At 41.8% G+C, this 24,620-nt stretch overlaps 1 long non-coding RNA gene across 3 annotated transcripts in view; it reads left to right on the forward strand.

Moving 5' to 3' along the window:
• The first annotated feature begins 564 nt into the window (after positions 1 to 564).
• The window catches only part of LINC01591 (long intergenic non-protein coding RNA 1591), a 65,589-nt gene continuing 41,533 nt past the window's right edge, over positions 565 to 24,620 (forward strand). For all 3 annotated transcript variants that reach the window (NR_026706.2, NR_120395.1, NR_120396.1), the window contains exon 1: positions 565 to 948. This is a non-coding gene — a long non-coding RNA (long intergenic non-protein coding RNA 1591). The remainder of the gene's footprint in view (positions 949 to 24,620) is intronic.

The following is a 24,620-nucleotide window of genomic DNA, read 5'->3' on the forward strand; positions in this document are numbered from 1 at the left end:
CCCAGCCTCTTCAGTCATAGGACTTGATTTGGAAACCCATCACCACCCTCCCTGCCCCGCTCTGGCTGTCAGGTTGTCAGGGCTCCTCTCTCCTCTCTGGCATAGCCCAGAACTGAGTACAGCAGACCAACAGGGGAGACTGGCCCAGAAGAGCATGAGGTATCCCATGTTTCCAATGGGATGCTATGCCCCTCTTCATGGTGTCTAACTTTGTAGTTCCTCCAGGACTTCACTTACACTCTGAGTACATAGAGGATCAAAAGGGGAAGTGGCATGTTTTAGTGGAAAAGACAGGTTGTGGCTCAGAAAATTGATTTAACCTCGGGTAAGGCACTTGACAATTCTTGGCCTCAGCTTCATAATTTTACTTACCTGTAAAATAAGAGTTGTTGTGGGAATTAAATGACAGACGGCATGAAAAAGCTTGGCACCTTACCTAATACATCGGATCGGCTCGAGAAATGGTAGACTTCTTTCTGTCTTCTCCTTCCTTTCCTGCCTCCCTTCCTCCCACTCCTTCCTTCCTCTCCTCCTCCAGCCATGTCTCCCTCCCTCCCTCCCTCCCTTCCTTCTCTCCCCCCAAGCCTCCATATTTATTTCCTTCCTACTAAAATTTTCTTCCACATTCCCTCTCATCCAGTCCTCAATGAATCCTGAGGACAGCTATCAGTGGTCACTCTCTTGGGCTTGAAATGGAACAGATCTTCTTGTTCCATCTCTTTCTGATAGCGCCAGTTCCTGCTGAGGACAGAACATTGTCTTCTTTTCTCCCTGCCTCAGGCAGATGGCAGGGAGTGTTGTGTGTTCCCACAAAGGAGCGTGCTGTCCCCGCTCCCGAGTCTCTCAGCGAGCCCTGTCATGGAAGGCATCCAGGAGAATGTGGAACTCCGCACCCGCTTTCTCAGAACAGAGGAGCATCCATGACCCTCAGAATCACAGCATTGAGAGGTACCACAGGATGGGCCCCATGTTTGAATGGTCTGTGCACTAGGGACCGAGACCCTGAGGACAAGCCTGTGATTGGTGAGAAGTCCTGCACATTGCACACTGTGCTTCAGCTGATGGGGGCGGCAGGACTGATTGTCATTGTCCCTACTTTACAGACTAGAAAACTGAAGCTCAGACGGGCTTAGCAATTTTCCCCAAATTACACAGTAGTTAGGAGGTAGACAAAGTTTGCATGCCTGGTCATGGGAATCCAAGTTCAGTGTTCTTTCATTATGATGTTTTGCCTCTGCATATTAAAAAACAAAAAACAAAAAACAAAAAAAAAAAACATGAATTTTCAACTGAATGTAGGTAAATAACCCAGGAACTTAATTATATTTTTTTCCTTCTGGTTCTGGCTTTGGCTTAGCTTCTACCTGAGAATCAACCTCTCCCTACAACAACTGTTTCTTCTTTTCTGACATTCTATATTCTTTTTTTTTTTTTTTTTTTTTTTTTTTTGTGACTGGGTATCACCCTGTCACCCAGGCTGGAGTGCAATGGCTCACTGCAACCTCTGCCTCCTGGGCTCAAGTGATCCTCCCACCTCAGTCTCCCAAGTAGCTGGGACTACAGGCATGCACCACCATGTCTGTCTAATTTGTTTTTGGTAGAGATGGGGTTTCACTATGTTGCCCAGGCTGGTCTTAAACTCCTGGGATGAAGCAATCCTCCTGCCTCAGCCTTCCAAAGTGCTGAGTTTATAGGCACAAGCCATCACACCTGGTCACATTCTACATCTTTGTTGGGGGCTGCACTATGGACCCATTATTCACGCAAAACCTGGCAATCATCCTGAACTCTTACTACTCCTAACCCGTGCCCCACTCCCCGCCGGTCGCCAATGCTCTCCTTGCCATGTACAATCAATGCCAGGACCTGTACCTTTGACTTAACAAATACCTCTTGCATCTGCCCCTCCTCCCTGTACCAACTGTGCCCCCATTCACTGCTCTGCCCCAGGCTCTTCCTCACCCAGTAAAGTGCAATGACCTTGAACAGTTTGCCTTTTTAAAGGTGTTTTCTGTAAATCTATGCTCCATGCATTGGTGGGAAGATCTTTCAACACCACAATGGATACGTTCAGTGGCCACTCAGTTCCTCAAAGAAGCAACTGTTTATGAAAAAATGTGCCTGAGCCAGGCATGGTGCCACAGTCTTTGCAAGCAATAGCTCTAAATCACAAAGTAACTCTACAAAGGAAGCTTTGTTATCCCAGTTTCACAGCTGGAAAGTGGCAGAGCTAGACCTCCAACACAGATCTGTCTGACTGCACAACAGTGCTCTCTTCATACCCCACACAGCCTCCCAGATAAAATCTTGTCTCCTTAATATCAGTTGCAGCCCCCGTCTCCTGCCTCCAGACACCTCTCACGCCCTGCTTTCCAGACACATCCCCCTTCCTGAAGTTCACTCATCTCCTGACATGGTTTTGTGTTCCATGGCTCCATTTGTGTTCTTCCCTCTGCCTAGGATGCCTTCCTCTGTCCAACTGTCCCCTCAAGCACCACTCAGCCGCAAGACTAAGGTTAGAATCCAGGATTATCTCACTCCGATCTCTTCTCCTTCCCATTGCAGAGCCCTGTCTCCCACATGGACAATTTTCACTTCATTCTAGGTTACGATGCTGTAATTGGCATGGACCAGGATGGAGAAACGCCACCAGGGAATGCTTCAGTTGGTAGTTAATATAAAGGGATAGGTCTCTGTTGGCTCTTTGTGGAAAATTATTTCAAGAGTTGATTTTTAAATGTAAGGGAAACAGGACTTTATTCCCTTGTCAGACTAATTACTGCACTCCTGAGTCATGCTGATGAGATGGCTTCAGAAAAACAACAGTTCTCCCACTGAGCCATAGGTCAAGGGGTTCTGGGTGTTTTCACAGAAGGTTATTGTTTTCAAGGGGGTTATTGATGGGCTGGAGTGTGAGGTTTCTTGAGGAATAAAACTATCACAATTAATCTGTTTAGAACTTCTGTATGGGGAGAGGGTGTTATTCCTCAGCAGTGAATGACTCAATGAAAAACAGAATATTCGTGGTACATGTGCTCCATGCTGTCAGGCTTGTCAATACCAAGTTTGAAGACAAAAAATAAAATAAAATAAAATAAACAGAAAAAAAGAAGGCTTTTTTTTAAGTGATTAAGGATGAAAGTGCTGGCTGCTGACCTAGGCCTCTGTGAATTTAGAACCCAAGATGATCCCAGCTGTGTGATGGGGCAGGACCCTTAGTGTGGGAGCTGGGCTCTGTCCCTCACATGTGGGTAGATTGTGAGACCCATATAGAGTCAGGGGACCTGAAGCTGGGTAGGGTCTGCAGCTGAGCTACTGGGGACTTTCTGGTGTCTCTTAGCCTCCCTAGGACCCACATTCATTTTCTATAAATGAGATTTGAGCCAATTCACTGTCTTCCTAATAATCACTGTTTTCTTGTAATCACACACCACTGTTCTCTTAAAGCTTTTCTTTCCAGTTAATTTAAATCAACCCTGTTTTAAGACTTTGCCATTTATGAAAGAATAATATCCATAAAATCATGGCTTTGATTTGCTAATTACATGTTTTCTAATTAACACTGTATCAGTCAGAGGGTCCTTGGTTGAAAGCAATTGAAAATCTTTCAGCCATCTTAAGCAGAGTGAGATCTTATTGGAGAGATTCTCGGGGCTCAGGTAACTTTAGGAGGCTAGAAGATCAGGCTTGAAGACAGTAGGGATTGAAGTTGTCCTGGTTGACTAGACAGCAGAACCACTGCATGAAACTGGGATGACTGGTCTCTGCGAAGCACCACTGCCACACCACTGTCACCACAATGAATGTGGCTATCAGACACCCATGTCACCATATCATCTATCTGCTCAGAATTCAAAATCACAGGGACAGTGTCTGGTTGGCCAAGCTCAAGTCACACTTGCACTCTGCCTACCTTGGGACAGGTGTGAGGAGGATGAAAATCTGGTCCCTTTGACTTCCATAGGTGGCCAAGGTCCTCAGGAGTATACAAAATGGGAGATTCCCCAATAGGGAAAACAAGGTGCTAATGGAAGACAGATTGAATAGTGGGTAGTAAAAACTTGAAAATAAAGAAAAAAACTCCCCAAAACAAAAAATAGGTATTTATTGCACTCATTAAAATAAATACATAATTATTTTTTGTATTTGAACTAGAATACATAAATACGAAAATAAAAAGTTTATTCGTGTACCATAACATCATAAACTCATGTATCAACCCCATGTACCACTCTGTAGGAAGCACTGGCCTCTCTAAGGATCTCTAAGGATGCTGCAGCTTTGGCCTTTATTGTACACTAGTGAATACTTCCGTTTTGGAAAGTATAGACTCATTTGTCTCTTTCTGTAAAACACTAACCTTGGCTTTTTTTGTTTGATTTGCATGGTAGCTATTCTTTACTTGATGCTTCAGAACCTGTATAGAGCCATTTTTTTACTGTTTTAGGTTGACTGTCCACTTCCACTTTATTTTTGATGTGTTCAGAATATCATGCACCCACACATCTTTGCATTTTACTAGGATAAGTAGCAAGCAGTTCAAAAAAAGAAGAACCTGAACCTTTCAAATGACCTTGATATCCTGCTATCTTTTGATCACAGTGTAGCTTTCTGGAATTCTCCAGGCCACGTGAGGGAGTGTATGTTCCCAATGTTCAAGATATAATTTTACACAAGAATTCTAGAGACAACATGTTCTGCATAGGGCATCAGAAACATCCAAATAAGTCAGAGTTCATTCCACTCTTCCTAAACATGTATTTGGCACTTCCTATTAAACTACCCTAAACCTCATCAAATAAATGTCAGTTTTAGAAGAAATCTTAGCAATAATCTTGTTCATTTGTATTGAGAATGCAAGTGAGACTTCCAAGATAAGGGTAGACTGGGCCTAGAATATTTTGGAATTTCTTCTGAAACCCATCATGGAACTTCTAGTTCAAATAGCAAGTTACCTTTTTACTCTCTAACAGATCCCATTTCTCCTGTCAGGGAAGACCACTCCACAGTTACCTGATACTTTATGCAGAAATCAGATTACTTTATGAAATAAGATTCTTTCTAGCGATGGAATTCTGGCTCCACAGAAATTAAATACATCTAAATGCACAGTTCCTTATCCATAAATGATAAGTAATCCCCATTTTTGTGTATAAGCATAGCATGCACACATACACATGGTGAAGGGAGAAAATAAATGGCTCCAAATATTTGGATGCTTTTTTACAGAAGTTAATATTAAAGGTGAAAATCCAAAGTATGGTTGGGAAGAAAAAGATTAGCAGCTGATCTGTTAACTATCCTTTTTAAGCTGGATAATTTCAAGGAGAGATTATGAAGAAGAATGAGAAGGAGAGTAGGAAGCAGGAGGAGGAGGAAGAAGAAGAGAAGAGGAAAGAGAAAGAGAGAAAGAAAGAAGAAAGAGAGAAAGAAGAAAGAGAAAGAGAAAAAAGAGAGAAAGGAAGAAAAGAAAGAAAAAGGAAGCAAAGGAGGAGGAGGAGGAATAAGAGAAAGAAGAGGAGGAGGAAGAAGAGGAGAAGGAGAAATAAGGGGAAAAAGGAGTTATCCTGGTCAAATGTGGAAAGATTCTATTCAAATTTCTGATGGTTTTTAGTGATTGAATGATAATAAGAGAGTCCTTATCAATAGAATTCTTTCAGCAGGATATACTTGATCAATTGGTGTGGTAAACAAACCTGAAAAGTATAGATTTCTGGGGCATGGCCTGCTAGAAAGTGTCAGTTTTGGGTATTTAATTATCAGAGTATAAAATGGATTTATTTCATGCTTAAAAGTTCCCTTTGGGTCAGTGATGAACGGTATGCATCACTTAGAAGCCCCACGTGTTATACATCAGGGCACATTCTGCTGTGATGCAAAAGGGCCCAAGATGCAACATTGGTGGTCTCAGACTTCTCATGCTTCATCTGCATATTGCATAAAAGCAGAATAGCTTTTTTGTATTATTAGTAAAGTTTGATACTGAATAAGATCTCTAATTCTTATGAGTCTGATTTGATAATTCAACCCTTTGTGCAATCTTTTTTTTTTTTTTTTTCTTGAGACCGAATTTCACTCTTGTTGCCCAGGCTGGAGTGCAATGGTGTGATCTCGGCTCACTGCAACATCTGCCTCCCAGGTTCAAGCGATTCTCCTACCTCAGCCTCCCGAGTAGCTGGGATTACAGGTGCTCACTACCACGCCCAGCTAATTTTGTATTTTTAGTAGAGGTGGGGTTTCACCATGTTGGTCAGGCTGGTCTCGAACTCCTGACCTCAGGTGATCCACCCACCTCGGCCTCCCAAAGTGCTGGGATTACAGGTGTGAGCCACTGCGCCCAGTCTCTTTGTGCAATCTTAATAGCAAATGTGGTAGAAGGCAAAGATGGTCACAAACTCTTGCCCTTCCTTGATTTCTTTGTCCCTTTTCCCCCACCATATCTCCTCTTCTACCTCTGGGCTCAGCCATGTGACTTGCCTGGGATGTTAGCCATTGTGACACAAGAGAGAACTGAAAAGCACTGGGCAATAGTGATTATTTTCTCTTGCTGCTGTTGGAACCCTGTGACATGTTAATGAAGCTGGACTAGCTGGTTGGAGGATGACAGTCCATATGGACAAGAGACAAGTACCTTAACTGAGGCCCCTCTAGACCACCAGCCCTGACAGCTGGTGGAGTCCCAAGGAAAAGGGGCTGACTGGTCAATGTGCTAGAAGCCAATACTATGACACCAGATTCTGAGAAAAGAAAAGCTTTTTATTGCAAGTTGACTAACAAGGAGATAGGAATCCAGCTCAAATCTGTCTTCTTGTGCTGGCTTGAAGTCTGTAATTTGACTAGAAAAGGTTTAGGGGGTGGATTCTGAGATTAGCAGGTGATTGGTGGAAGGAAAGAGGAGGCATGGAAAGTCCTTGGGTATGAGCAGTTATCTCTTCACGCTATCTCATGGGTTATGTGCAGATTCAGGGGGAGTTAGTATGAAACGTGGTGGAATTTCAGGCTGGGATGTCAGCAAGCTTGTTCTGCGCAGACTTCAGGGGGCTACATTGGTTCTAACTGATTTCAGCTAATTTTGTTCTCTTACAAGAGGAGGGAGTTTCAGCATTTCAGCAAGTTGTTTCTTTCTTTTTTTTTTTTTTTTTTTATCTTCCATCCTGTAAACTCAAGAATTTTTGTTAGTTACTGGTTTCTTTAACTCTTTGGGGCATGGTTTAAGTGGGACATGACAGATGTATGAGTGAGTCAGCCCAGCCCAACTGCTGCCCTACAGAAATCATGAGCTAAATAAATGGTTGCTTTAAGCTATTACATTTTGGGAGTGTTTTGTTACAAAGAAAAAGCCAACTGACATAGTATATTTAAAATCCACTGCGGCCAGATTCTAGCCTTCTTTTCACAACCCTCCCACTCCTCCTGCTTGTTCCTTCTCCTTCTATTTGGGATCAGGGCTCACAAACTGGTGGCCAAGGGTTGGCCAATGTGTCCCATGAAGAAATAATGTTCAGCCAAGATTCACTGCAAAGACCATACTTGTTGATTATGCTCAGTGTACGTCTGATTTTTTCAGGGCTCCTGCTATACTAACTGCTAAATATTTTCAGTATCAGCCCTGGTCCTGTGAACAAGTTTTGTTCTATTCACAAAGTATACATCAGAAGATTTTCCATGGAAATCTGGATTTATGGCTTGCCTAAAAAAGGGGATAGGGAAAGTCTGGGAATGTTGGACTAGGATTGGGCAGGAATGACCTGGAGCTGAGAATTGACTGCTCGTTGTCCAGACAGGGCTCGTGCTGCCAGTTCATCACTGTCCCATCATTCCTAGGTGTAGCATGCTTGTCTTGTTTCACCTATGCATGTTACCTGCCGGACCTTAGAGGAAGTTGGTTGTATGCATGACACATTGGCTAGCATTGGTTTGAGGGTGTAACCATGTACTGTCATGTTTTTACACATTTTGATCTCATTGCCTGGAATGTGCATCTACTTCTTGGACACTTTACTGAACCTCTGCAAATTCTTCAAAATTTAACTTAAATGCTTCCTGTTCTATGACATATTTCTCTCAATAAGGCTGGTTCACCTTGCTCTGTGTTCCATATGACTTTGCACATAATCTCTACTACAGCCTTAACATTTTATCCATCAGCATTGTTTAAAAACTGCCTACAACTATCATGTGACCTCCTTGAACACAGGACTACCCTCTTCCCCTACTTACCCCTTGAGTAGGGCATATGGCAGGGCCCTTAATACCTGTGATGGATTAAGGAATCAACTAACTAGACATTCTGGCTGAACGTCAGAGGATGATTTAATGCAATTTGCATTTTGTGTAAAACCAAACTTATGATTCTCTATGACACATCCTCTGAAGATTTCTTTATAATCAACAATGTTCTGCTTTGATTTTAAAGAGCTTCTTTTGGCTTCAGGACAAGCAGCGTATAAAGGAAATAAAAATTATTTAAAGTATAAGAAAATCTGAGTCAAGTATCTTTGAAGAAGTATGTTTAAAGGAACCAAGAGGCTGTTGGCACCAGAATGATCCTTAAAGCTCCCCCACATTCCTAATAAAAGAGAATCTGCATTGACCAATGGAATTAACTAGTTTTGTCAGGACAGGCTAGACTACACTTTGATAGCAATCCCCAGATCCAAGTGGCTTGACAGCAAACACACTGCTTTGCTACATGAACATCATAGTGGGCAGAGTGATCTATTCATCTTGGTCAGTCAGGGAACTGTGCCAATGGAGCCTCAATCTCAACTCATGCTTCCATGATCACTTGGGCAGAGCAAAGAGAACCTGTGGCCCATACACTGGCTTTTAAAAGTGTCACCTGGAAGGGACACATACCATTTTTGCTCCTATCTAGTTGGTAAAAGCAGAGCATATTGCCAGGCCTAACTTCAACAGGGCAAGGAACAGCAATTCTTCCACATGCCAGGAAAGAGACAAGTTGGAATATTTCTGAGCAAACAAGTACTTACCGAAATTTGTGATTTTACAAAGGACCTTCACTTTTCAAAATGTATCATCATCATCTACCTGCCAATGACCCCCCCCCAAGGTGGATTTAAAGTAGAATTTGACCTCCATCAGCTGGGTTCGGGTGCTTCTCTACAGTTGTTTCAGAATGCAAGACTCCTTTGTTTCAAACTGCCACAAGTAAACAGAAAATGAGAAGAAGAGACCAGACCCCCCCTCCAGATTATACCCACTCTCACAGACACAGAAGCAGTCCATGGCAGTATAGGGTGGAAAAGGTGGTGTTTGGGGGGATGTTGGGTGCTGTGGAGGCACAGAAGAGGGACACAAAACTGGACTTGGGGCAGATGTGCTGCATGAGTGGAATCAAGGAAGAGGTAGGGCTTGGGCAAGACCTTGAAGGGTTCATTGCAGTTTGCCCATTGGACAGGGGTAGAGAAGATACGAGGTCCCAGAGGAGAGGGATATGGATGAGGTCCTTAGGGTCATGACTCTGGTCAAGACACGATACCTGCCCTAGAAGGAAATTATTTACACACATGACCTTGAGCAAGCGCCTTCCTCTTTCTGATCTGTCTCCTGCTCTACAAAACAGAGGTTATAATCAAAATCCCATTTTTAAAAATAGAGCTCAACAATCTGATTCTTAATTTGCCAAGAGTATAAATTAGTAGAAATAGCTAAGAGTATTTCAAATAAGAAATACAATAAGATCAACTTGTCTTATCACAAGTAAAATCATCATATTCTAGAGATATAGGAATTAATTTTGCTCAAAACCTGGCATTATCCAAAGACTGGCCAAATCAATTAAAAGAACAAAAAAGAGAGTCCAGAATTCAATCTGTGGTATTTGAGAATTTGTGATGAGTTTCACTTCAAATCAATTAGAAAAGAAGTAAGAGTTTAAGAAATAGTTTTGACAATTTAATAACCATTGAAAAAGTTATCTTTTAAATTCACATTATATATAAGAATAATACACGGATTTATTAAACGTTTTAAAAACAAAATTTAGAAAGCATTATAATAAATATAGAAAAATAGTTTTCTTACCTTAAGTTGGAAACATTGTCCTACAGAAGGTTTAAAATTCTTGACACCATAAACAAAAGACTTGCATATTTGATTATAAAATTTTTAATATCTTTTTTGTGGGAGAAAACATAACAAATTCAAAGAAAAGTGACAGAGTAAGAAAAATATAGCAATAGATATATAATAAATGCTCAACAATCAGAATATACAAGAACTACTTGTGATCAATTATTAAAAATATTCATGAAAAAATAGGCATAGAATATAAGAGGACAATTAATCTGAGTTATGTAAAGGGCTAATAAATATGAAAAAATTCTCAATCCCACAAGATATCAAGGGCACATACATGGAAATCAAAAGATACAATTTTTATTAAGGTAAAAAATAAATAAAATTCTAGCTGTTTAAATCCATTGGTGCCTACATTGCTTAAAAATGGATATTCTCGTTAAGTGACAAGAAATTCAAACTGGTAGAAACATGGGCTATGAAGTCACACCACCTGGGATTGCATCCTGCCCTGTGTGACTTTAGGCAAGTTACTGAATCTCTCTGCTCTATTTTTCTCATCAATAACAGTGCCTATATTACAGAGTTATTTTGAAATTAAATATGGTAATCCATGGAAAATGCTGAGAATAGCACCTGGCCCATCGTGAGTGCTCAGTGATAATTAGCTTTTATTTTTCCACTGTCAGTGAGAGTATCAAAATTAGAAATGCATATGCAACTTTATTTATAGGAATCTGTCCTACAGAAATAACCACCCATGAGCATAAATTTAGATCTTCAGTAATAACCATTTCAATATTTGTAATGGTAAAATGTTGAAAACAACATAGATATTAATTAAAAGGAGAGGAGTCACATAAATTTTGCCTACCTCCTTTTTATAGTAAGTTGCATTTATTTTATGTAACAGTTTACAAAGAATGAGACAGACTCCTATTTATTAAGATAGAATAACCACTAAATATATATTATTATATAAAAAACAAAATAGACCGGGCATGGTGGCCCATGCTTATAATTACGGCACTTTGGGAGGCCGAGGTCTGAGGATTGCTCAAGTCCAAGAGTTCAAGACCTACCTGGGCAACATAGTGAGACTCTAGATCTCTGTACAAAAGTAAATAAATACGTAAAGAATTAGTTGGGAATGGTAGCAAATGCCTGTTGTCCCACCTACTTGGGAGGCTGAGATAAGAGGATCATTTGATTCCAGGAGGATGAGGCTGCAGTGAGCCCTGATTGAATCACTGCACTACAGCCTGGGCAACAGAGCAAGACCCTGCCTCAAACAGTAAAATAAAATAAATTAAAATAAATAAATTAATAAATCAGAGATAAATTTGAATAATACAATCTTTGGAAATCATTTCAAACATAATATTTGTAAATACATTGAATTTTTTAAAGAAAGAGTCACATCAGACTGTTAACAGTAGCTACTTTGGGGGAAGAGGATGTATTGGATGATGATGAAGGCAGATTTAAATTTTACCTTCACTAGTATTTGTTTTTAAAAAAAATTTTTTTATTTCAATAGGTTTTGGGGAACAGGTGGTGTTTGGTTACATGAATAAGTTCTTTAGTGGTGATTTCTGAGATTTTGGTGCACCCATCACCTGAGCAATGTACATTGTACCCAATATGTAGTCTTTTATCCTTCGCCACTCCCCACCCTTTCCCCTGAATCCCCGAAGTCCAATGTATCATTCTTATGCCTTGGTGTCTCATAGCTTAACTCCCACATATAAGTGAGAACATTTGATGTTTGATTTTCCATTCCTGACTTACTTCACTTAGAATAATAATCTCCAATTCCATCCAGGTTGCTGTGAATGCCATTGTTTTGTTCCTTTTTATGGCTGAGTAGAATTTCATGGTAGATATATATATCAGCTGGGTTCAGGTGCTTCTCCACAGTTGTTATATATATATCACATTTTTTTTATCCACTCATTGATTAATGGGCATTTAGGCTGGTTCCATATTTTTGCAATTGCAAACTGTGCTGTTATAAACGTGTGTGTGCCAGTATCTTTTTTGTATAATGACTTCTTTTCCTTTGGGTAGATACCTAGTAGTGGTATTGCTGGATCAAATGGTAGATCTACTTTCAGTTCTTTAAGGAATCTCCACATTGTTTTCCTTAGTGGTTGTATTAGTTTACATTCCCATCGGCAGTGTAAACGTGTTCTCTTTTCACTGCATCCATACTAACATCTATTATTTTTTGATTTTTTTGATGATGGCCATTCTTGCGGGAGTGAGGTGGTATTGCATTGTGGATTTGATTTCCATTTCCCTGATAATTAGTTGGTCATTTGTTTATCTTCTTTTGAGAATTGTCTATTGATGTTCTTAGTCACTTTTTGATTTTTTTTCCTTGATGATTTGTTTGAGTTCTTTATAGATTCTGGATATTAGTCCTTTGTTGGATGTATAGATTGTGAAGATTTTCTCCCACTCTGTGGATTGTCTGTTAACTCTGCTGATTATTTCTTTTACTGTGCAGAAGCTTTTTAGTTTAATTAAACTATTTACATTTGTTTTTGTTGCATTTTCTTTTGGGTTCTTGGTCATGAAGTCTTTGCCTAAGCCAGAGTCTAGAAGAGTTTTTCAGATGTTATCTTCTATAATCTTTATGTCTTCAGGTCTTAGATCTAAGTCTCTCATCCATCTTGAGTTGACTTTTGTACAAGGTGAGAGATGAGGATTCAATTTCATTCTTCTACATGTGGTTTGCCAATTATCCCAGCACCATTTGTTAAACAGGGTGTCCTTTCCCCACTTTATGCTTTTGTTTGCTTTGTTGAAAATCAGTTGGCTGTAAGTATTTGGCTTTATTTCTTGGTTCTCTGTTCTGTTCCATTGGTCTATGTACCTATTTTTATACTAGTACCATGCATTTCAGTGACTATGGCCTTAGAGTGTGGTTTGAAATCAGGTAATGTGACGCCTCCAGATTTCTTCTTTTTGCTTAGTCTTGCTTTGGCTATGCAGGATCTTTTTTCATTCTCTATGAATTTTAGGATTGTTTTTTCTAGTTCTGTGAAGAATGATGGTGGTATTTTGATGGGAATTGCACTGAATATGTAGATTGCTTTTGGCAGTATGGTCATTTTCACAATATTGATTCTACCTATCCACAAGCTTGGGATGTGTTTCCATTTCTTTTGTCATCTATGATTTCTTTCAGCAGTGTTTTGCAGTTTTCCTTATAGAGGTCTATTAGGTTAGGTTTGGTTAGGTTTATTCCCAAGTATTTTCTTTCTTTCTTTCTTTCTTTTTTTTTTTTTTGAAGCTATTGTGAAAGAGGTTGAGTTCTTGATTTGATTCTCAGCTTGGTTGCTGCTGGTGTATAGCAGAACTACTGATTTGTGTATATTAATTTTGTATCCTGAAACTGCTGAATTCGTTTACCAGTTCTAGGAGCCTTTTGGATGAGACTTTAGGGGTTTCTAGGTATATCATCCGCAAACAGTGACAGTTTGACTTCCTCTTTACTGATTTGGATGCCCTTTCTTTCTTTTGTCTGATTGCTTTGACTAAGGCTTCCCATACTTTGTTGAACAGAAGTGTTGAAAGTGGGTATCCTTGTTTTGTTCCAGTTTTCATGGGGAATGCTTTCAACTTTTCCCCATTCAGTATACTGTTGGCTGTGTGTTTGTCATAGATGGCTTTCATTACCTTAAGGTATGTCCCTTCAATGCTGATTTTGCTGAGAGTTTTAATCATAAAGGGATGCTGGATTTTGTCAAACACTTTTTCATCATCTGTTGAGATGGTCATGTGATTTCTGTTTTTAATTCTGTTTATGTGGTTTATCACATTTATTGACTTATGTATGTTAAACTATCCCTTCATTCCTTGTATGAAACCCACTTGATCATGGTGGATTCTCTTTTCGATATGCTGTTGGATTCAGTTCACTAGTATTTTTGTCTCTGTGTTCATCAGGGCTATTGGTCTATAGTTTTCTATTTTTGTTGTGTCCTTCCCTGGTTTTGGTATTAAGGTGATACTGGCTTCATAGAGTGATTTAGGGAGGATTCCCTCTTTCTCTATCTTTTGGAATTGTGTCAATAGGGTTGGTACCAATTCTTCTTTCAATGTCTGATAGAATTCAGCTGTGAATCCATCTGGTCCTGGACTTTTTTTGTTGGCAATTTTTAAATGCTGTTTCTGTCCTGCTGCTTGTTATTGGTCTGTTCAGAGATTCTATATCCTCCTGGTTTAATCTAGGAAGGTTGTATATTTCCAGGAATTTATCCATCTTTCCTAGGTTTTCTAGTTTATGCATGCAAAGGTGTTCATAGTAGCCTTGAATAATCTTTTGTATTTCTGTGGTATCCGTTGTCATATCTCCCTTTTCATTTCTAATTGAGCTTATTTGGATCTCCTCTCTTCTTTTCTTGGTTAATCTTACTAATGGTCTATCAATTTTATTTCTTTTCAAAGAACCATTTTTTATCTTTTGTATTATTGTTATTGTTTCAATTTCATTTAGTTCTGCTCTGATCTTTGTTATTTATTTTCTTCTGCTGGGTTTGGGTTTGGGTTTGGATTGTTCTTGTTTCTCCAGTTTCATGAAGTGTGACCTTACATTGTCTATTTGTGCTCTTTCAGACTTTTTGATATAGGCATTTAATGCTATGAACTTTCCTCTTAGCACCACTTTTGCTGTATCCCAGAAGTTTTGATAGGTTGTGTCACTATTATCTTTCAGTTCAAATAATTTTTTTAATTTTCATTTTGATTTCATTGTTGACCAAATGATCATTCAGGAGCAGGTTATTTAATTTCCAAGCGTGCATGGTTTTGAGGGTTCTTTTTGGAGTTGATTTCCAGTTTTATTCTGCTGTGGTCTGAGAGAGTACTTGATATAATTTCAATTTTCTTAAGTTTACTGAGACTTGTTTTGTGGCCTATCATATGGTCCATCTTGGAGAATGTTCCATGTGCTGATGAGTATGTATATTCTGCAGTTGTTGGGTAGAATGTTCTGTAAATATCTGTTAAGTCCATTTGTTGTAGGGTATGATTTAAGTCCATTTGTTTTGTTGTTGACTTTCTGTCTGGATGACCTGTCTAGTGCTGTCAGTGAAGTATCAAAGTCCCCTGCTGTTATTATGTTGCCATCTATCTCATTTCTTAGGTCTAGTAGCAATTGTTTTATAAATTTTGGAGCTCTAGTGTTAGTTGCATATATATTTACAATTGTGGTATTTTCCTGTTGGACTAGTCTTTTTATCATTATGTAATGTCTCTCTTTGTCTTTTTTAACTGCTGTGCTTTAAAGTTTGTTTTGCCTGATATAAGAATAGCTACTTCTGCTCACTTTTGATGTCCATTTGCATTCAATATCTTTTTTTACCCCTTTACCTTAAGTTTATGTGAATCCTTTTGTGTCAGGTAAGTCTCCTGAAGACAGCAGAAATTTGGTTGGTGAATTCTCATCCATTCTGCCATATCCATTTAAGTGGAGCATTTAGGCCATATACATTCAATGTTAATTTTGAAATGTGGGGTACTATTCTATTCATCATGTATTTGTTGTATATCTGAATACCTTGTTAATTTTCCATTGGGTTATTGTTATATAGGTCCTGTGAGATTTATGCTTTAAGAAGGTTCTAGGATTTCAAGGATTTGTTTTAAGATTTAGAGCTCCATTTAGCAGTTCTTGTAGTGCTGGCTTGGTAGTGGCAAATTCTCTCAGCATTTGTTTGTCTGGAAAAGACTATCTTTCCTTCATTTATGAAGCTTAGTTTTGCTGGATACAGAATTCTTGGCTGATCATTGTTTTGTTTAAGGAGGTTAAAAATAGCACCCAAATCCCTTCTAGTTTGTAAGGTTTTTTTTCTGAGAAATTGGCTGTTAATCTGATAGGTTTTCCTTTAGAGGTTACCTGATGCTTTTGCTTCATACCTCTTAAGATTCTTCCCTTTCTCTTGACTTTAGATAACCTGATGACTGGCCGGGCGCGTTGGCTCACGCCTGTAATCCCAGCACTTTGGGAGGCCGAGGCAGGCGGATCACGAGGTCAGGAGATCGAGACCAAGGTGAAACCCCATCTCTACTAAAAATACAAAAAGTTAGCCGGGCGTAGTGGCGGGCGCCTGTAGTCCCAGCTACTCGGGAGGCTGAGGCAGGAGAATGGCGTGAACCTGGGAGGCGGAGCTTGCAGTGAGCCGAGATCGCGCCACTGCACTCCAGCCTGGGTGACAGAGCGAGACTCCGTCTCAAAAAAAAAAAAAAAAAAAAAAAAGAAAAAGATAACCTGATGACTATGTGCCTCGGTGATGATCATTTTGTGATGAATTTCCCAGGTCAGGTGTTCTTTGAGCTTCTTGTATTTGTATGTCTAGATCTCTAGCATGGCTGGGGAAGTTTTCCTTGATCATTCCCTCAAGTATGTTTTCCAAACTTTTAGATTTATCTTCTTCCTCAGGAACATGTTTAATATCGTCCCAAACTTCTTGGAGGTGTTGTTTATTTTTTAAATTTTTTTCTTTGTCTTTGATGGATTCGGCTAATTAGAAAGCCTTGTCTTCAAGCTCTGAGGCTTTTTTTCTACTTGTTTGATTTTATTGCTAAGACTTTCCAGTGCATTTGGCATTTCTCTAAGTGTGTCCTTGATTTCCAGAAGTTGTGATTGCTTTTTATTTATGCTATCTATTTCACTGAAGAATTTTCCTTTTATATCCTGTGTTATGTTTTTTATTTATTTAAGCTGGACTTCACCTTTCCTGGTCTTTAATTCACTTAATAGTTGATCTTCTACATGGATGAAGCTGGAACCCATTATCCTCAGCAAACTAACACAGGAACAGAAAACCAAACACTGCATGTTCTCATTTATAAGTGGGAGCTGAACAATGAGAACACATGGACACAGGGAGGGAAATAACACACACTGGGGCCTGTCCAGGGGCTAGGGGGTGGGAGAGCATCAGGATAAATAGCTAATGCATTGAGGGGCTTAATACCTAGGTGATGGGTTGATAGGTACAGCAAACCACCATGGCAAACATTTACCTGTGTAACAAAACTGCACGTCCTGCACAGTATCCTGGAACTTAAAATAAAATTTTTTAAAAATCATCCTTCTGAACTACCTTTCTGGCAATTCAGAGAATTCATCTTGGCTTGGATCCATTGCTGATGAGCTGGTATGATTTTTCTAGGGTGTTAAAGAACTTTGTTTTGTCATATTACCAGATTTTTTTTTTTTTTTAGTTCCTTCTCATTTGGGTAGACTATGTCAGAGGGAAGACCTAGAATTCAAGGGCTGCTGTTCAGATTCTTTTGTCCTTGGAGTCCTCCCTTAGATGTGGTGTTCTCCCCCTTACCCTAGGAATGAGGCTTCCTGAGAGCCAAACTGTAGTGATAGTTTTTGCTCTTCTGGGTCTAGCCACCCAGTGGAGCTACTGGGCTCCAGGCTGGTATTGGGAAGTGTCTGCAAAGAGTCCTGTGATGTGATCTGTCTTCAAGTCTTGCAGCCGTGGATACTAGCACCTGCTCCAGTGGTGGTAGGAGAGGAGTAAAGTGGACTCTGTGAGGGTCCTTGGTTGTATTTTTGTTGAGTGTGCTGCTTTTGTGTTGGTTGGCCTCCAGCCATGAGGTGGCGCTTTCCAAGGCACATCAGTTGAGGTCCTATAGGGAGGATGCAAACTTGCCTCCGATACCTAGTTAAGTATTCAGGTTTCTCAGCCAGTGGGCAGGGCTGTAGAGCTCCCAGGAGATTATGACCTTTGTCTTTGGCTACCAGGGCAGGTAGAGAAAGACCACCAGATGCAGAGAAGGATAGGCATGTCTGAGCTTAGCTTCTCCTTGGACAGGGTTTGCTGCAGCTGCTTTAGGAGATGGGAATGTGGTTCCAAGTCCAGTGGAGTTATATTACCAGGGGAATTATGGCTGTCTCTGCTGACTTATACAGGTTGCCAGGAGAGTGGGGAGAAAGCTGGCAGTCACAGGTCTCACACCTCTCCCATGCAGCCTACAGTCCCAGAGGCTGGTCTCACTCCCACTGTGCCCCCATAACAGCACTGACTCTATTTCCAGGCAGCCAGTGACCAGGGCTGAGTCTATGAGTTTCTCCACTGAGAAAGCAAGCAGACTCACAGTTTTTTGGCATCTCAGGGAGACTGCAGCAGTGATCCAGTTCCTTCAAAGGGTCTGTGGATTCTCTCAGCTTTCCTGGTTTGTCCCTGTGGTAGTTCTTGGAGCAAAAGTTCATGCTGTGAATCTCCACATGCTGCTCTGTGCATCGGAGCGGGAGCTGCAAGCTAGTCCTGCCTCCTATTCACCATCTTAATCCTAGTATTTATATTTTTGTACAATATATATTTCTTTGGGCACTCAAAAAAATATTTTTGGCTGGGCGTGGTGGCTCACACCTATAATCTCAGCTCTTTGGGAGGCCAAGGCTGGCGAATCACCTGAGGTTGGGAGTTGGAGACCAGACTGGCTAACATGGTGAAACCCTGTCTCAACTAAAAATATAAAATTAGCTGGGCATGGTTGTGTAATCCACCTGTAATCCCAGCTACTCTGGAAGCTGAGGCAGGAGAATTGCTTGAACCCAGGAGGCAGAGGTTGCAATGAACTGAGATCGCACCATTGCACTGCAGCCTGGGCAACAGAGTGAGACTCTGTCTCCCTGCTCCCACCAAAAATAAATAAAAAAAACCCCAATATTTTAAAATTAAACAATGTGGATTGAGCCCTATATGCACCAACTAGACATGCTTCTAACTCAAAGATTCCAAGTCTCTACTTCTATCCTCCAGGCACTAGGGAGCTATGGATGGTTTTTGAGGAGTGATTGACCTGGTCACAGTCACAGGAATTTTTGAATAAACAGCTCTTTATTTTGTTGTTTTATTTTCCTCACCTACTCTTTCCAGTGTTTACATACTTTCTTCATTTTTCTTGCCAGCAATTGGCAGTTTTTCTTTAATTTTTTTCTTCACCAAGCCTCCAAGTTTATTTCTCTCTTAAGGTCTTTATTGTTTTCCTCTTTTCAGACAAAAATTAGTTGCTGAAGCTATTTCTTCTCTGCTGCTTGATGAGCCTCCAGAGACATTGCTTACAGCCAAAGAGCTTTATCTATGACTCCCCTAAGACAGTAATAGGTGGTGGGAAACAAGCCACAGGGATCAGGGGATGAGGCTTCTGGCCTTGTCTCAGCACTGGCCTGGGGACTCTCCCTCCCCAAGCCTCAGATTCCGTGCTAACAACAAGGCGAGGACAGTGCAGAGATCCCTGAAGACCCCATCCTGTCATGACCATCTATGACCCCAAGGCAATGAGTGAACACTGAAGTTCAAAAACATTGGTCATAGAGAAAGCACAGAGCCCTGCAGAACAGCTTGTGTCTCTCATATCAAGAGCTCAAAACTGCCAGCCCCCTGCTGCCCACACAGAGAGTTTCTCAGTCACTGGGCAATGGCTGGGCAGTGGTTTGTTCTATGGCAGAGACCACGAGAGAACTAACGCTGCTGCACTCACCCCAGCATGCAGCCACATCAGCATCACAGAGATCAAATGCCTCCTTTCCTTGATGGGAAAAAGGTTCTTACAGAGATGAAGGTCACGTCCCTTGCCCAAGGTCATGTGGCTGGGTTGGGGGTGGAGTGCCAGTGATACAAACAGGAGACAGGGAAATACTGGGTAGAAGAGGGCATTTACCCAACAAAGGCCCCTCCCTCAAGCCTGAAGACCTGCTGCCCTAAATGAGGACAGGCATTTCTGTTTTTGTGCCCAAAAAGTTGCTTTTGGCCTGCCATTATCCCCCTGCTGCCCCATATAAACCTGAGACCTTAGTGGGCACACACACAAGCGGCTGAACATTGAGACCAGCAGATCAGCAGACGAGTGGACCGGCACACCAGCAATGGTGGAAAGATGCAGTAGGGAAAGAAAGAAGAGGAGGGACTACTGGACAACAAGGGGTGTTCAGCTGGGGGCGGTCAGAGAACAGTCTGGTTGCTGGGTGACCCGACTCCAGGAGAAGACCACCTTCCCACTCCATCCCCCCTTCCAGCTCCCCATCTATCTTGCTGAGAGCCACCTCCACCACTCAATAAAACTTTGCACTCATCCCTCAAGCTCATGTATGATGCAATTCTTTCAGGACACTGGGCAAGAGCTCAGGATACAAAAGGCTGTCACACTGGCTCTCTGCCCTTGGAATAAGGCAGAGGGTCCGTTGAGCTGATTAACACACAAGCTGTCTGCAGATGGCAAACCTGAAAGAGCTTTGTAGCACACACCTACTTGGGCTTCAGGAGTCACAGGCACCCACCTCTTGATGTTGCGGTGGGGCAGGAGCCCAAAAGTACTCACCTCAGCCTCTGCACCTGCCTGTCTGCATGCTTCTCCTAGGGGTTTGAGCTGCAGGGCAAACAAGCAGGTGAGCCACACCCCTGCTACACATCCTGCGAGGGAAATCAGGGAACTCTCCCTTTTCACCAGTTCATTCAATAAGAAGCTCTAAGAAATACCACCCCAGTTCCCACTATCTCCCCACTTCTACCTCTCCAGGGAGAGTGGTCTCCACTGAATTGGCATTGAGGTTAAACAGATCTAAGTTTAAAGCTTTGGTATGTCACTGACTAGCTTTGTGATCTGATTTTCAAAAGGCTCATATCTTCACATGGGTTGTTCTCAATTTCAGATGTTCTACTCCTTCTTCTTTGCCTACATCCATCTTATTCTTATCCTTTAAAATCTCTATCAGGGATCTTCTCCCTGAAGCCCTCCTGCCTCCCCCAGTCAGGTTCACTCACCCCTCCTACCCTCTTGGTAAGCCCTAGATTTAATTTGTCTCTCCCACTGGATGATGATGCTTTTTCCTTCAGTCTCTCCCATGCGAGACTGTGAGCTCCAGGTAGAAGAGGGCCACACCTATATAGCTCCCGGCAATGGGCACAGAGGACTGTAAAATGTGAGACTTTCACAGCTCAATGAAAAGGGCTGTGAGAGCACAGAGAGGACTAGAATGTAACCATCGCAGGCTCCCTGTAGCTGTAAATTCCTTGTGGATGGCAGGTGCTCAGCACAATGCTCTGTACAGGTTGTTGCTCTCAAAATATGAAACAAAAAGCTCAGAGATAAGTTGTTTCTATTAGTCATTTATACCATAGTATGAAGTTGACTGCATTGCCTGCCTCTTAGGGATGCTAACTTTTAAGTTTCTCTCCTTGAAGAATTAAAAACTTGTTCAGGACCGTGCATCCAGAAGCAGCAGAGAGGAGAAGGGAGGGGAAAAGAGAGGAAAAACTAAAGCTAAAGGATGTCAGCTTCTCTGAAAAGACATTTAGCCCTCATGCCCATGCCTCAGGATGGCTTCTTTTAGTAACTCAGAAGTTTTATTTCCATGAGTTCTACCCCTCCTGTGACCCTCCAGAAGCATAAGATCTCAGCAAGGCCCTCTTCTGACGCTGATATCTCCATCCTGGGCCTGCCAGAGGCAGTTTGTTTAGTTCTTTACCTGCTGAGAGACACAGCCTTTATTTGGCAGGAAGTGTGAACAAACAGACCTGAGGCGATTTCTTTTCATCACCACCTACCTCCTAGAACAACTGTCCCTTCCTCCTTCCTTCCTTCTTTCTCCCTCAGAGAGCTTTAATGCCAAGAATACCAAATGGAGATCACAGTTCTGGGTGTGAGTCATGGTTTCACTACAGGCTAGCTCTGTGACATTCTGCCTCGGTTTCTTCATCTGTGAAATGGGACAAAGTCCTTGTCATCTCTTCCACTATGCAGTCAGTTCAGGTAAATGCATCAACGTCATGAATTCAGCGAAATGCATCACATCTTTTTTGATGGTAGGTGCCGCAGCTGCAGAAGTGCCTAAGACCAAGTTTGTGGGAAGGATTAAATGAGGCAGTGAGGAATAAGGACCAAAGTGTGGAATTATTTTCCAGAGGATACTTTGTCCATGTTCAGGACCTATGCTTTCCTGATCCATGGGGTCAGGTTCACTTCCTGGAGAGCACTGTGGTGCAAGGACGGTTGTGGCACGCGTGCCTCTTCGTCCACCAACCCATGGCAGAAATCACTGATCAACCCAACGTCATCTCAGGATTCTCCTCAATACAGGGCACCTGCAAGCCACTGACCATCAGCCGGAAGCTGAAACCTACATGCTATTACAGGAAAAAATAGCACAGCTTTGGAGTAAAACTAATGTGGTTTGAATCTGGTTCCTCTGAAACATTGAGCAAGTTTGACAGTCTCCTTAAATGAAAGTACTCATCCATATCTGTATAAAGAATATATTTCTGCCTAACTCCCAGGTTTCCTGTGATAATTAAACAAGACTAAATATCATGGAAGCGCATATACATAGTAGTACTCCTTTTCTTTCTTTCCTTTTCCCTCTTTCTTTCTTTCTTCTTTCTTTCTTTCTTTCTTCCTTCCTTCCTTCCTTTTTTTCCTTTTTTTTTGCACTACAGAGTCTTGCTTTGTTGCCCAGGCTGGAGTGCAATGGCATGACCTCGGCTCACTGCAACCTCCTCCTCCCAGGTTCAAGCAATTCTCCTGCCTCGGTCTCCCAAGTAGCTGGGATTATAGGCATGCACCACCACGCCTGGCTAATTTTCGTATTTTTAGTAGAGACAGGGTTTCGCCATGTTGGCCAGGCTGGTCTCAAACTCCTGACCTCGTGATCCGCCCGCCTCGGCCTCCCAAAGTGCTGGGTTACAGGCGTGAGCCACAGCGCCTGGCCGGTAGTACCCCTTTTCTACCCCTGCCCTTCCAATTCTAAACAGGTCTTTCCTCTGATTCTCGGTTTTTACCATGTGTAAAATATTATGCATAGTGCTGTTCTCACGAGGTTGTTTTGGAGTTTCAAAGTGCTGCCCCTTGCATATGACAACTCTCGATCATATTGAGGTAAGAAATTATAAGTCTTGGCTGGGTGTGGTGGCTCACAACTGTAATCCCAGCATTTTTGGAGGTGGGCAGATCACTTGATGTCAGGAGTTTGAGGTATTTTGTACTCAAAATACAAAAATTAGCCAGGCGTGGTGGCGTTCACCTGTAATTCCAGGTACTTGGGAGGCTGAGGCAGGAGATTCACTTGAACCTGGGAGGCAGAGGTTACAGAGAGCTGAGCTCACACCATTGCACTCCAACCTGGGCAACAGAGTGAGACTGTGACTCAAAAAATGAATAAATGAATACAAGTCCTGACTCTCACCCTCATCACTGTCCTCTGTGCACAACTAAACCAATGTGCCCCTAGCTGAAGTTCTAGCTTGCCTCAGTTTCCCTTCCATCCTCTCCCCAGTTTTGAGACTCAGTCAGCATAACTTGGGGAAGGGCCATTATTTCCAAGCAAATAAAAGAGTTAGATCTTGGTCCAGCGTGTGTGTATGTGTGTGTGTGTGTTTGTGTGTGTTGGGGTTGGGGAGGGTGGAGAGGGGAAAGATGAGTTAATTCATTCAGCAGCAGCCCTGACTACCTCCTCCTCCTAGTTTGCTCCATCCTGGAGGGTAGGGAAGTGGAGGCCAGAGCCCGAATGTTCCTTAGAACTCTTGGGAGTCTGGTTTTCCCTCAGCCCCTTTAGGACCTTTAGTACCTCAGGGAATAAATGTCCCCACTATGCATGCTCTTGTGAAGGAAGACAGCTGGTGTGTCTCAAAGGTTTCCCCAGCTATTTCCTCTTCCCCAGTGGATCCCACCAGGGCCTGATCAGGGCTCCTAGGACACAGAATTTAAGGGGGACCTCACTCCCAGCATCCTGCAAGTGCCCATCCTGCAATTAAGAGTGAGGGCCTCCTTAAATGTAGTCCTCAGTTCCTTGCCTGCCTCATCTAGCCTGGTCCTGAAAGTATAGAAAGAATTGAATAAAAGCATGAAATGTTAGATGGGAATGTTTGAAGGAGTGGGCTTTAGAGTTGGGCCTTCCAGGTTCAAATTCCAATACCACCACCACTTCAGTTATGGGACTTCCTGTAATTTAACTATAAATTTTTTTATCTGTAAATTGGAGATAATAATAGTACTACCTTCATACTCGTGCTGTGAGGATTACATTAGGGACTGCATTAGCATAACCGAGGAAGCATTAGTAAGAATAAAAGAACAATTTTTATTAGACTGTATAATACTGAAAATAATAGGGATCCTGGGGAAGTGAAAGAGAACATATACCTACCAGGTGGCTGGTCCTATGCTGGGTGCCTTATATATGTTTTTTCATGTTAAGCCTCAAAAATCTTCTCTATATCATGATGTTAAGAAATTAAGGCCACAAAGTTTCAGGAACTTGGCCCAAGACGTTCAATGGATATGAAAAGGTTGCAGTAGTTGAGCTCATGTCCCTGAAATTCCAAATTCTCTGCTCTTACCTTTTGGCCTAAAGCCATCTTAGTGTGGAAATCCATGCACTGGGTGCATGGTTCCTCAGCTGGCTCTTCATTAGGATCATCTGTGTGGCTTTATAAACATACACTTGCCAGAATTCCAGGCTTGGCTTAGAATCAACAATGAATCTGTGTTTTGAATAAGAAGCCCTGGGATGGGCATGAACTGTCAGGCTCGGGCACCATTGCAGGCTGAGTGAC

Source organism: Homo sapiens, chromosome 8, assembly GCF_000001405.40.
Source record: "Homo sapiens chromosome 8, GRCh38.p14 Primary Assembly".
NCBI classification, from domain to species: Eukaryota; Metazoa; Chordata; class Mammalia; order Primates; family Hominidae; genus Homo; species Homo sapiens.